The 12,247-nt window shown below is 44.4% G+C and overlaps 1 protein-coding gene across 11 annotated transcripts in view, besides 1 other annotated feature; it reads right to left on the bottom strand.

Annotated features, from left to right (window-relative positions):
* Positions 1-3,674: 3,674 nt before the first annotated feature.
* FKBP1B (FKBP prolyl isomerase 1B) overlaps positions 3,675-12,247 on the bottom strand; it is a 30,476-nt gene continuing 21,903 nt past the window's right edge. For 7 of the 11 annotated variants that reach the window (XM_017003594.2, XM_017003593.3, XM_017003596.3 and 4 more), the window contains 2 exons: positions 6,430-6,542; positions 3,675-4,292 (listed from right to left, as the gene is read on the bottom strand). In XM_017003594.2, the coding sequence (XP_016859083.1) occupies positions 4,164-4,292; positions 6,430-6,540 (240 nt within the window). In that variant the 5' untranslated portion in view covers positions 6,541-6,542 and the 3' untranslated portion in view covers positions 3,675-4,163. Of the gene's footprint in view, positions 4,338-6,429; positions 6,543-12,247 lie in introns of all 11 variants that reach the window. The other 4 variants (NR_136536.2, NR_136538.2, NR_136539.2 and 1 more) reach the window with 1 other exon arrangement.
* Positions 6,279-6,418: an enhancer, noted in NCBI's record as "active region_15422". NCBI's record gives its function as "activates an Ori minimal core promoter by ATAC-STARR-seq in GM12878 lymphoblastoid cells {active_cell/tissue: GM12878}" and the evidence as "EXISTENCE:reporter gene assay evidence [ECO:0000049][PMID:35858748]".

Genomic DNA, 12,247 nt, shown 5'->3' with positions numbered 1-12,247 from the left:
AGGTATTTGCATTTTGCAGGTGAGGAAACCAAAGTTCATGATGTTGGTTGAATGAATAAAATGCTAACATACAAAGCTGGTGTGATAACAACCAGTTATTAACCAAGCCTTTACATTTGAATAATGCTTGCTTTATAGTTAACAAAACACCTGTGTCAATATGGGTACCCTTGTCTTTAGAACAGAGGTCTATTATAGAAATGGTCATTTAGATGATAGTACATTGTTAGAAACTTAGATTTGCCTCTTTAAATTGTTTTTTAATTATTATGGGTACATAATAATTGTCACATTGGTAGAAATTTGAGAGCAAGCTGCTTGGGTAGTGGCGTTGGTTGTTACATGTCTAAGATTGTATTTATGTAGACTTTTCCTTTAGTTATTAAGTATCTGTAGGTATATTGGACCTTAGCTCATAATATATCTTTGCCATAAATACTTAATGCTCATTCTTATTATCATGAGTTCCCATGACATGGAAACAGTATGGTTATTACCCCATTCATCATCATGGCAGCTTGGGAGAATATAGCCGTAATTTGCTTTTTATTGCTTAGGCATGGACCAAATGGAAAAACATGGACTAATTGTTTTGTGTGTGATTGGAACCTAAAATCAATTTGAAGGTACATACACTGAATCACTTCAATGTACAAAGAGCATCAATTCTGCTTTTAATTATATCTGAGTGTTTTTTGAAAGCAGTGTAAGAGAGTAGAGTCATTTCTAAGGGTGGGAAGATAAGAAAGGAGCTACAGCTGTAATTTTCTTTTGAATGCTTTTATGAATGCATTATTAGTTTTTGTAATGCACGGTGTGCCTTTAGGTAATGTAAAAAGAATTTTCTAAAAGACTTTCTTGTAAGAGAAAAACTGAAATTAGACTTTAAAACTTAGAGTGTGATTTGTCTAAGTGGCAGGCTAGCTTGCCTCTGGTGTAGTTGTTTTAATAACAAGGAGAAATTCCTTCTATTAGCAGTCATGACCAGTCCATCATTTGGATTGATATATCTGTTAGCTGAATTTCATGACCTAAAGTTAAGACTTAAAACTTCCCTCTAATTGTTTGGAAATTCCATATCCTGTCGCAATTAAGTTACAAGAACTTGCACTCAGTGGACAAACACTGACTCCCACTCTGCACACAGTACTGTACGAAGATGCTGAGGATATAATTATGATCGGTCCTCTGTGCAAGGCATCCAAAGCTCAATTTTTCAAATGCTTTTAAGAGTGCAACAGATGACTGTGTTTATATGTGCACACACATGTGCCAGAGCTGCTTTACTTTCATCTGGGTTAAATTTTTGAGTTTCTAAGAAAAAAATTCGTAGGAATAGAGAATTCATTGACTGAAAGTCTGAAAACAACTGATGTGACCTTGATCTTATTATTGCTCTTCTGTTTAACAGCTTTAGTGGCTCTCATAGGCCAATGTCCAGACTCATTAGCATACTGCATCATGATTTTCTGCATCATCTTTTAAGAGCTCCAGTAAAATGGTTCATTTCCCAGTTTACCTGCAGAGCCTCACCTGTCCTCTCCAGGTGCTAGCCAGTATGTGTTTGCACTTTGGGGGAGTTCTTTTAGTGGGTGTCTCCTTTGACCCACCTCAGTTATAAATACTCTAGACCAATATCTTTTATATGCCCCATAGTGGGCACCTGAAATAGTCCTTGATGCCATCTTTTGTTATCTTATTGGTGTCACAGCAGAAAATATGCGTATGTCTTTTATGCAGGCTGACTTCTGAGAAATTATTGTAGGCATTTGAGTCATCAAAGAAAGCCAGGAACCAAGACATTCTGAAGGAAATACCCTCTGGCTGGTCTAGTCTCACAATAGAGGTGAGCACAGGGACTTTGGTGACTAAAATGCAAGGCAGTTCCTTTCTCTCGTTTTCTCCATCCTAAAGCACTGCTTCTTCATTAGCTCCTCCACCCTCAGCAAAGGAATACAGCCAGGATTTCTTGGAGACAAAAAAGGTAGATCATGTAGCCAAGATGACATGGCCTCATAGCATATATATGACATCATGTGACATGTATCAGTGGGTCTATGAGGAACACTAACAGTACCTGTTATCAGCCCCTCCGTCCTCAATCTTGAAACAATTCGAAGTCGTCACTGATAGAAAACCGTATTGGCTGAGTGCAGTGATTTAAACCCATAATCCCAACACTTTGGGAGGCTGAGAGAAGATAGCTTGAGGCCAGGAGTTTGAGACCAGCCTGGGCAACATAGTGAGATTCCCCCATCTCTATTTTTTAAAAATAATAAATAAATGATTAAAAAAAAAAAAGAATAACCCCAACTATGGCCAGGAGTTTTTCTCATCCTATACCAACTGAAAGAAAAATGTTTGAGGCTGGGCGTGATGGCTCACACCTGTAATGCTAGCATTTTGGGAGGCCGAGGCAGGCGGATCATAAGGTCAGGAGATTGAGACCATCCTGGCTAACATGGTGAAACTCCGTCTCTACTAAAAATACAAAAAATTAGCCAGGTGTGGTGGTGGGCACCTGTAGTCCCAGCTACTCGGGAGGCTGAGGCAGAAGAATGGTGTGAACCCGGGAGGCAGAGCTTGCAGTGAGCCGAGATCATGCCACTGCACTTCAGCCTGGGCAACAGAGTGAGACTCCGTCTCAAAAAAAGAAAGAAAAAAAAGAAAAATGTTTGAGTATATTGCCTCAGTCTCCTATGGCCTATATATAACCTACACCAATAAGTGTGCTGATTTTAAAACCTAACTGGTGTTTCTGGTTAGTTACAATAAATGTTGATGAAATAAGCACTATATGTGGAAACAAGTTCAGAATCATACATTCTTCTCAAAAGTAATTCCTCAATGTAAGTCAGAACAAATCTAGGTGAAACTAAGCAGTGTATGTGAAAACAAGCTCAGAATCACACACTCTTTTCACAAGGAACTTCCCAATGTGAGTTAGTGTACGACTTCAAGCCCTTAACACACCTTCATTTGTTTAGACACAAAAAGTGTTCTGTATCCATCTGGGTGAGTGGAGCTCATCCCTCTGGCTGTAGTCCAAACAAAGATTGCAAGAGCACATAAGGTGCTCAAGTCCCACATCTGATTGCTAGGCTACAAGATTTGGAGCCTATATTTCTTTAGTTATGCAGAGGAGGATTCTGAGCCTGAGATGAGCGGCAGGTAATATCTACTGTGCAGGGTTGCTTAGAGGATCAATGGTAATAATTTAAAAGTATATAGCCAGGCACAGTGGCTCACACCTGTAATCCCATCACTTTGAGAGGCCAAGGCAGGTAGATCAGTTGAGGTCAGGAGTTTTGAGACCAGCCTGGCCAATATGACAAAACCCTGTCTCTACTAAAAATACAAAAATTAGCCAGGCGTGCTGGTGAGCATGACAATCGTTTGAACCCAGGAGGCGGAGGTTGCAGTGAGCCAAGATTGTGCCACTGCATTCCAGCCTGAGTGACAGAGCGAGACTCCATCTCAAATAAATAAATAAATAAATAAAATAAAAAAGTATGTAGAACAAGGCCCAGCATGTAAAATGCTCACATTGTAGCTATTATATTTATCACTCACCTAGCCACTTGGAACCCTCCTTTCTTTCCACTCTTTCCCAAGGGCACCTGGCTTGTGTGGTCCTTAGAGCACTTCCTACCTAAAATAAGGATGGACAGGAGTTTGTCAAGCACAGAGCCTTTATTTTACATTTTCTCAAAGAGGACATTGTTTAAGTGAGCAGCTAACAGAATTTATAAGAGAGAAAGTGACAGCAAAGGTAACTGGCTCAAGTCCCTCTGTGTACGGTACGCCATGTACATTTCATGTCTGAGCACCTTGTGTGTGTGGTTTAAGTGAAGGTAAGGCAGTGTAGATTGTGCGAACAAGAGATCTGTGTTCTGTCATCAGGAAAGGCTACTACATGCATCACACAAAATGCACAACCTGAAATGCTTCAATCTGCAACCGAAGTTTCCTCAAGCAAGAATTCGCATGAACACTGACGAACACATACAGAGCAACTTGGGCAGAGAGAATGGATGATGCCATGAGGCAGTGAGGTTAGCACACTGATCAAGAGCCCCAAAAGCAGGAGCCGTCCCAGTGGCAGAGCAGGCTAGGAGGGTGAGCAGCAGCCATCTCCAGCCACCTTGAGTTCCTTCCTGCCTTCACTCTAAGTTGAGCAGCTCCACGTCAAAGATGAGGGTGGCATTGGGAGGGATGACACCGGGGTGGCCCGTGGCTCCATATGCCACATCAGGGGTGCAGGTCAGCTTCGCCCTCTGCCCCAAGCTCATCTAGCAGGGATGGGGGCAGATGGGGAGAGGAGAAAGAGGACCCAGCTTGATTTAAAAGAAAAAAGTTAGATGACTATGGCATTTTCCCAAACCATCCTCAATGTTAACTCTGAAGATCTCAGATGAATTTTACATGGGATACATTGAAATCGTGCTAACAGCTTTAACAAACGCAGATTCTGCCTCAGCAGAGATGTGACTGTGGGGCAGTAACCCTCACAGAGTGGTCTCAAATTCATGCATCTGACAAACATTACTGGTTATTCAATTTGTGTATGACTGAAACACTTCCATTTGTTCATAGTTCACCCTCTTCCAAAGAATAGGCCTCTTTAGGAAAAGAGGGTGTATGAATAGCACACGTAAATACTCAAGTAGGTGACAGGGGCAGTTATTTAAAGTGGTTTAGAGACTAGAGTCACCAGCAAGGTGGCAAGGGGGACCTATTGTGGCCAACCGTGGTGGCTCACACCTGTAATCCCAGCACTTTTGGGAAGCCAAGGTGGGCAGATCACTTGAGTCCAGAAGTTCAAGACCAGCCTGGCTAATATGGCAAAACCCTGTCTCTACTAAAAAATACAAAAAGTCCGGGCGTGGTGGCTCACACCTGTAATCTCAGCACTTTGGGAGGCCGAGGCAGGTGGATCACCTGAGGTCAGGAGTTCGAGAGCAGCCTGGCAAACATGGTGAGACCCCGTCTGTACTAAAAATACAAAAATTAGCCAGGCGTGATGGTGATGGTGCACACCTGTAATCTCAGCTACTCGGGAGGCTGGGGCAGGAAAATTGCTTGAACCTGGGAGGAGGAGGTTGCAGTGAGCTGAGATTGTGCCACTGCACTCTAGCCTGGGCAACAGAGTGAGACTACGTCTCAAAATAAATAAATAAATAAAAAACAAAAAACAGGCCGGGCACGGTGGCTCGCACCACTTTGGGAGGCTGAGGCGGGCAGATCACGAGGTCAGGAGACCGAGACCATCTTGGCTAACAACGGTGAAACCCCGTCTCTACTAAAAATACAAAAAAATTAGCCGGCCGTGGTGGCGGGCGCCTGTAGTCCCAGCTACTAGGGAGGCTGAGGCAGAAGAATGGCGTGAACCCAGGACGCGGAGCTTGCAGTGAGCCAAGATTGCGCCACTGCAGTCCAGCCTTGGTGACAGAGTGATACTCTTTCTAAAAAAAAACACCAAAAACAAGACCTATCGTAAGGGAGCATCATAGGACTTCACAGACAGACCAAGAAAGAACAGCTTGAACCAGGGCTCATCACAGCAGTTGTTGAGAACCCACTCAGCATTAGTGGGACAATTGGTGAAATTTAAATCTACTTTTGAATTTTGAATAATCAAAAATTTGAATAAGTAAGTAATTTGTATCAGTGTGAATGTCCTGGTTTTGATAATTGTACTATGGTTATGCAAGAAGGGGAAGCTGGATAGAATATAGAAGAACTCTGTACTATTTCTTTAATATTTTTGTAATTCTGAAATTCTTTTCAAAAAAGCGAAAAAACGAAAAATTTTCTTGGCCTACTCCACCCCAACTCTTCCACTACCTCAGTCCCAGGCAACTGGTAGACCTCAGCTAGTTTATTTTTTTGTTTTGTTTTTTTGAGACAGTCTCACTCCATCGCCTGGGCTGGAGTACAGTGGCACAATCTCTGCTCACTGCAACCTTCACCTCCCCGGTTCAAGTAATTCTCCTGTCGCAGCCTCCCAAGTAGCTGGGATTACAGGCATGCACCACCACGCCTGTATTTTCAGCAGGGACGGGGTTACACCATGTTGGTGAGGCTAGTCTTGAACTCCTGGCCTCAACTGATCCACCCCATTCGGCCTCCCAAAGTGCTGGGATTACAGGTGTGAGCCACCGTGCCTGGCTCTCTCAGCTAGTTCTGAGCAAGCCTAGGGGGATGTGCTTGGGATGAGAGCCCCCAGGGACACAAAAGAGGTATGCTGGCAAGGAGAGGGGTGGGGACGCAAAGCCAGGAGGGGACACCAGATGGCGTTGCCATGCCCTGGCTGTAGAGTCAAAGCAGTAGTGGTCTGTGAGTGGGTGAAGGTGGAGGTGGAGGGCAGAGTGCTGATCCCAGATCCCCAACTCCCCAGATCCCCTTTAATGCGAATCCTCATCCTACCTGGGCTGCACCCTCTTCAAAACCTTTGATGACTTCCTGTTTGCCAATTCTGAACTTGAAAGGTTTGTTTCTGTCTCTGGATGAATCAAACTTCTTCCCATTTTGGAGCATTCCTGTCAAAGCAAGAATCGGGTGCAATAGAGCTGTGGTCATGAGTAAACTCCCAATTCAGATTCCACATGTCTAAAATGGAATGCCTTTTCTGCACACACCTGCTCCTCTTCCGATCCTCCCCATCCATCCTGTTGCCCAAGCAGGAAATCTGGACACTTCCTTCTGCCTCACCCCCACATACTGCCTATCACTAAGTCCTCCATATCTTTGGAATCCACCTATTTTCTTCATTTCTATTTTTATTTATTTATTTATTTATTTGAGACAGAATCTCAATTTGTCACCCAGGCTGGAGTGCAGTGGCACAATCTCGGCTCACTGCAACCTCCATCTCCTGGGTTCAATCGATTCTTCTGCCTCAGCCTCCCAGGTAGCTGGCATTACAGGCGCCCACCACCACACTCAGCTGATTTTTGTATTTTTAGTAGAAACAGGGTTTTGCCATATTGGCTAGGCTGGTCTTGAACTCCTGAACTGCAGGTGATCCACCCACCTTGGCCTCCCAAAGTGCTGGGATTACAAGCATGAGCCACTGTGCCTGGCCTTTTCTTTGTTTCTATTACCACGACCAAGTCACCAGCTTATCTCACCTGTACACAGGAACAACCTCCTAACTGGTCTTTTTGATCCTCTTTTACTCGCCTCCATTTCATTGTCCACTTGGCATCCAGACTGATTTTTTTTTTTCTTTAAACACAAATCTGATTCTATTACTCCCCTGCTCAAAATACTTCAATAGCTCCCCAGAGCAGAATCCAAATGCCTACCTTGCATACAGGCACTTCACAATCCGGCTCTGGCCTGCTTATAACCCTCTCTGTTCTCCCCTTCCTTCCCTTCCCTCTGTGTCCTTTTCAGGTCATACCTTTCTCAAATTCCTCTGCACTTTTCAACTTTTTTTTTTTTTTTTTTTTTTTTGAGTCGGAGTCTCCCTCTGTTGCCCAGGCTGGAGTGCAGTGGTGTGATCTCGGTTCACTGCAACCTCCGCCTCCCGGGTTCAAGGGATTCTCCTGCCTCAGCTTCCTGAGTAGCTGGGACTACAGGTACCTGCCACTATGCCTGCTAATTTTTTTATATTTTTAGTAGAGATGGGGTTTTGCTATGTTGGCCAGGCTGGTCTCGAACTCCTGACCTCAGGTGATCTGCCCACCTCAGCCTCCCAAAGTGCTGGGATTACAGGTGTGAGCTATCATGCCCAGCCAGACTTTTCAACTTTTTTATGCCACTTCCTCCACCTAAAGTTCTGTTTTCCCAGCTATTCCAGCCTCAGGTTGAGTCCTCGCATAAGGTTCCTAAGGTTTCCTAAGTTTCCCCCAAAAGGGAAAACCCAAAGGTTACATTATCCCCTACTGTAGGGAACAGTGTAAGGTGACCTAGCTGGTCAGAGGTGGCCTCCAGACTCTGTACTAAGAGGGCTGTTTGAAACCAGAACCCCCCCCCAGGTGCTGGTCCAGCAGTTCTGGTTCCCCCAGCCTCTGCTTCAGAAGCCTTGTCATCCTGATGTCCACATGTCATCTCAGTCCAGCAGCCCAAGGCCCAACAGCTATTCTCAATTCTTCTGTGACTCTGACTCAAAGATCAGACCTTCTGTAAATGATGCAGTTCCACGACTGCTCCCGGCAGTCCCTGGACCACCACAAAAGGCCATTTGGGACTAGAAAAAGACCTTGCTTGTACATCCAGAGACTGGGTTTTGACTTCACTCTGGCTCTAACTCATTGTGTGAGACTGGGCAAATCACTTCCTCTCCCAGGGCCTCAGATGTGTCATATTTAACATAGGAAGCAGGGCCAGCTTAGTGTAGGAGCATCTATGATGCTACTTCCTAATTCCTACAACTAAAATATATATTAGAGAAACAGTCTTATTTAACTACTTTCTGAGTAGAATACATTAAGCTTTTGCCCTGGGTACTAACTGAGGCAAAGAAGAAAACCCTTCTGGCTACACAGAGGTACATGCAGATGGATGCTAACAAGATCAAATACAATCGCATGCATTTGCTAAGGTTGCTAAGATATTCAAATACACAAAGATACTTGTGCATGCTCACATGCACTTATGCACTCACACTCAGGAGAAAAGCCCTGGTGGCCAAATAGATGCTAAGAAAATATTTACATACACAGATCTACATACATTCACACAGATACATACTTGTACAAATATGCACACAGATATGCAAACACACATGCACACATTCACACACTCCATTTATATACCGACTTTCCTTTCTCATTCCTTAGTTTCTTCAGGTTTCATGTGACTTAATCTACTTTGGATAAATAACTTCATTTATCTATTGCTACAAGTTAAGCCAAAACCATGCAGTCTAGAAACAGACCCACTTACATGGTGATTTGATTGGACAAAGATACCACTGCAATGCAGCAAATAAAGGTTTTTTTTTCTTGCATTAAGGTTGTTGAGTCAACAGTATATTCATATGGGGAAAAAATGAACTTTAACCCCTACCAAATCCACACACAAAAAAATCAATTCCAGATGAATCATAAACCTAAATATGAAAGATAGAATAATAAAGCTTCTACAAGATAACAAATAGAAGGATATCTTCATGACCTAGAGACAATTTTTTTTTTTTTTTTCCTGAGACAGAGTCTCATCTCTGTCACCCAGGCTGGAGTGCAGCGGCTCAATCTCAGCTCACTGCAACCTCCGCCTCCTGGGTTGTTCAAGTAATTCTCCTGTCTCAGCCTCCCGAGTAGCTGGGATTACAGGCATGCACCACCATGCCTGGCTAATTTTTGTATTTTTAGTAGAGACAGGGTTTCACCATGTTGGCAAGGCTGGTCTCGAACTCCTGACCTCAGGTGATCCACCTGCCTTGGCCTCCCAAAGTGCTGGGATTATAGGCAGGAGCCACCGCACCTGGCCTGACAGACAAAGATTTCTTAAACTGAACACAGAAAGCACTAACCATAAAGGGAAAGATTGATAAGTCAGACTTCATCAAAATTAGGAACTTCTGTTCAGGCCAGGTACAGTGGCTCACACCTGTAATACTAGCACTTTGGGAGGCCAAGGTAGGAGGATCACTTGAGCCCAGGAGTTTGAGACCATCCTGGGCAACATAGGGAGACCTTCCTCTCTACAGAAAAACTAAAAATTAGCCAGGTGGCCGGGCCCGGTGGCTCACGCCTGTAATCCCAGCACTTTGGGAGGCCGAGGCGAGCAGATCACCTGAGGTAGGGAGTTCGAGACCAGCCTGACCAACATGGAGAAACCCAGTCTCTACTAAAAATACAAAATTGTCCAGGCGTGGTGGCGCATGCCTGAAATCCCAGCTACTCGGAAGACTGAGGCAGGAGAATTGCTTGAACCTGGGAGGCAGAGGTTGTGGTGAGCTGAAATCGTGCCATTGCACTCCAGCCTGGGCAACGATAGCAAAACTCCATCACACACACACAAAAAAAAACCAAAAAAAAATTAGCCAGGCATGGTAGCATGTTCCTGTACTCCCAGCTACTTGGGAGGCTGACATGGGAGGAGTCCTTGAACCCAGGAGGTCAAGGCTGCAGTGAGCCATGATCCCTGAAGACTAGAGCCACTGAACTCCAGCCTGGGTAACAGAGTGAGATCCTATCTCAAAAATAAAAAAGAAAGAAAAAAATTTTAAAAAGAAAGAAAAGAAGAAAATATAAACTATAAAAAAAGAACTTCTGTTCAAAATATACTATTAAGAGAGTAAAAAGGCAAGCCATAGTGTGGGAGAAGATGTTTGGGATAGATATAACCAACAAAAGACTCATATCCAAAACATATACAAAACTCCTATAAATCAACAAGAAAAAGACAACCGGCCGGGCACCATGGCTTACACCTGTAATCCCAGTACTCTGGGAGGCCGAGGCAGGTGGATCACCTGAGGTCAGGAGTTTGAGACCAGCCTGGCCAACATGGCGAAACCCTGTCTCTACTAAAAACCTCAAAATTAGCCGGGCACGGTGGCACACACCTGTAATCCCAGCTACTCAGGAGGCTGAGGCAGGAGAATCACTTGAACCCGGGAAGTGTAGGTTGCAGGGAGTGAAGATTGCGCCATTGCACTCCAGCCTGAGCAACAAGAGTGAAACTCTGTCTCAAAAAAAGAAAAAGAAAAAGACAACCTAATTTTCTAAAATGGACAAAATTAGAGCAGTCTAAAGAGGATATCCAAATGGCCAGTAGGCACATGAAAAGGTGCTCAACTTCATTCATCATCAGGGAAACACAAATCAAAACCACAGTGACCAGCCTGGCCAACATGGTGAAATCCCATCTCTACAAAAAATACAAAAATTAGCTGGGTGTGGTGGTGCGCACCTGTAATCCCAGCTACTTGGGAGGTTGAGGCACAAGAATCGCTTGAACCCAGGAGGCGGGGTTGCAGTGAGCCAAGATCGCACCACTGCACTCCAGCCTTGGCAACAGAGTGAGACCTTGTCTCAAAAAAAAAAAACAAAAAAACCCACAATGAAATGGTACTGAACGCTCACCAGAGTAGGCCAAAACCAAAACAAAGCCTGGTGTGGTGGCTCATTCCTGTAATCCCAGCACTTTGAGAGGCCGAGGCAGGCAGATCACCTGAGGTCAGGAGTTTGAGATCAGCCTGGCCAATATGGTGAAACACCGTCTCTACTAGAAACACAAAAATTAGCCAGGCATGGTGGCGGGCGCCTGTAATCCCAGCTACTCGGGAGGCTAAGGCAGGAGAATCGCTTGAACCCAGGAGGCAGAGGTTGCAGTGAGCCAAGATCATGCCATTTCTCTCCAGCCTGGGCAACATAGACTCTGTCTCAAAAAAAGAAAAAACAAAACAAAACCAAAACCTGACAATAACAAGTGTTGGGGAGGACACAGGGTAACTGGCAGTCTCCTACACAGCTGCCTAGAGTGGAAACTGGCACAACGACTTTGGAAAGCTGTCAGACAGTACTGCTAACGCTGAGCCCAGGAGGTACCCCACTTCCAGGTATATACCCAACAGAAACATGCACATATGTCTGTACACATGTACACTAAGAGATGCCTGCAAGACTGATCAAAGTGACACTGTTTGTAATAAACAAAAACTATGAACAACCCAAATGTTCATCAACGGTAGAGAGGATACATAAATTGCAACATACTTGTACGTTAAAATACTGTAGAGGAATAAACCATTCTGGATATATCTCGCAGACATAATAGTGAGTGAAATAAGCCAAACACAAAAGAGTACCTACGCTGTGGTTCCATTAAGATGAAGTTCAAAAATAGGCAAAACCAATCCATGGAGACAAAAGTCAGAGTAATAGTTGCCAGCCAGGCACAGTGGCTCACACCTGTAATCCCAGCACTAGGAGGCCAAGGTGGAAGGATCACTTGCATACAGGCGTTCGAGACCAGCCCGGGCAACATAGTGAGACCCTCATCTCTACAAAAAATTAAAATTAGCCAGGCATGGTGGCTCATGTCTGTGGTCCCAGCTAGTCAGGACACTGAAGCAGGAGGGTCACTTGAGCCCGAGAGGTCGAGGCTGCAATGAGCTGTGATCACCACTGCACTCAGCCTGAGTCACAGAGTGAGACCCTGTCTCAAAACAACAACAACAATGACAAAAAAAAAAAAAAAAAGAAAAACAATGATAGCTACCTCTAGGGAGGTGAAATGACTGGGAGAAGGCATCAGGGGGACTTTTGGGGATGCTGGTTCTATGCTT

This window comes from Homo sapiens, chromosome 2, assembly GCF_000001405.40.
Source record: "Homo sapiens chromosome 2, GRCh38.p14 Primary Assembly".
Classification (NCBI taxonomy): domain Eukaryota; kingdom Metazoa; phylum Chordata; class Mammalia; order Primates; family Hominidae; genus Homo; species Homo sapiens.
This window is presented reverse-complemented; position numbering and strand designations above follow the sequence as displayed.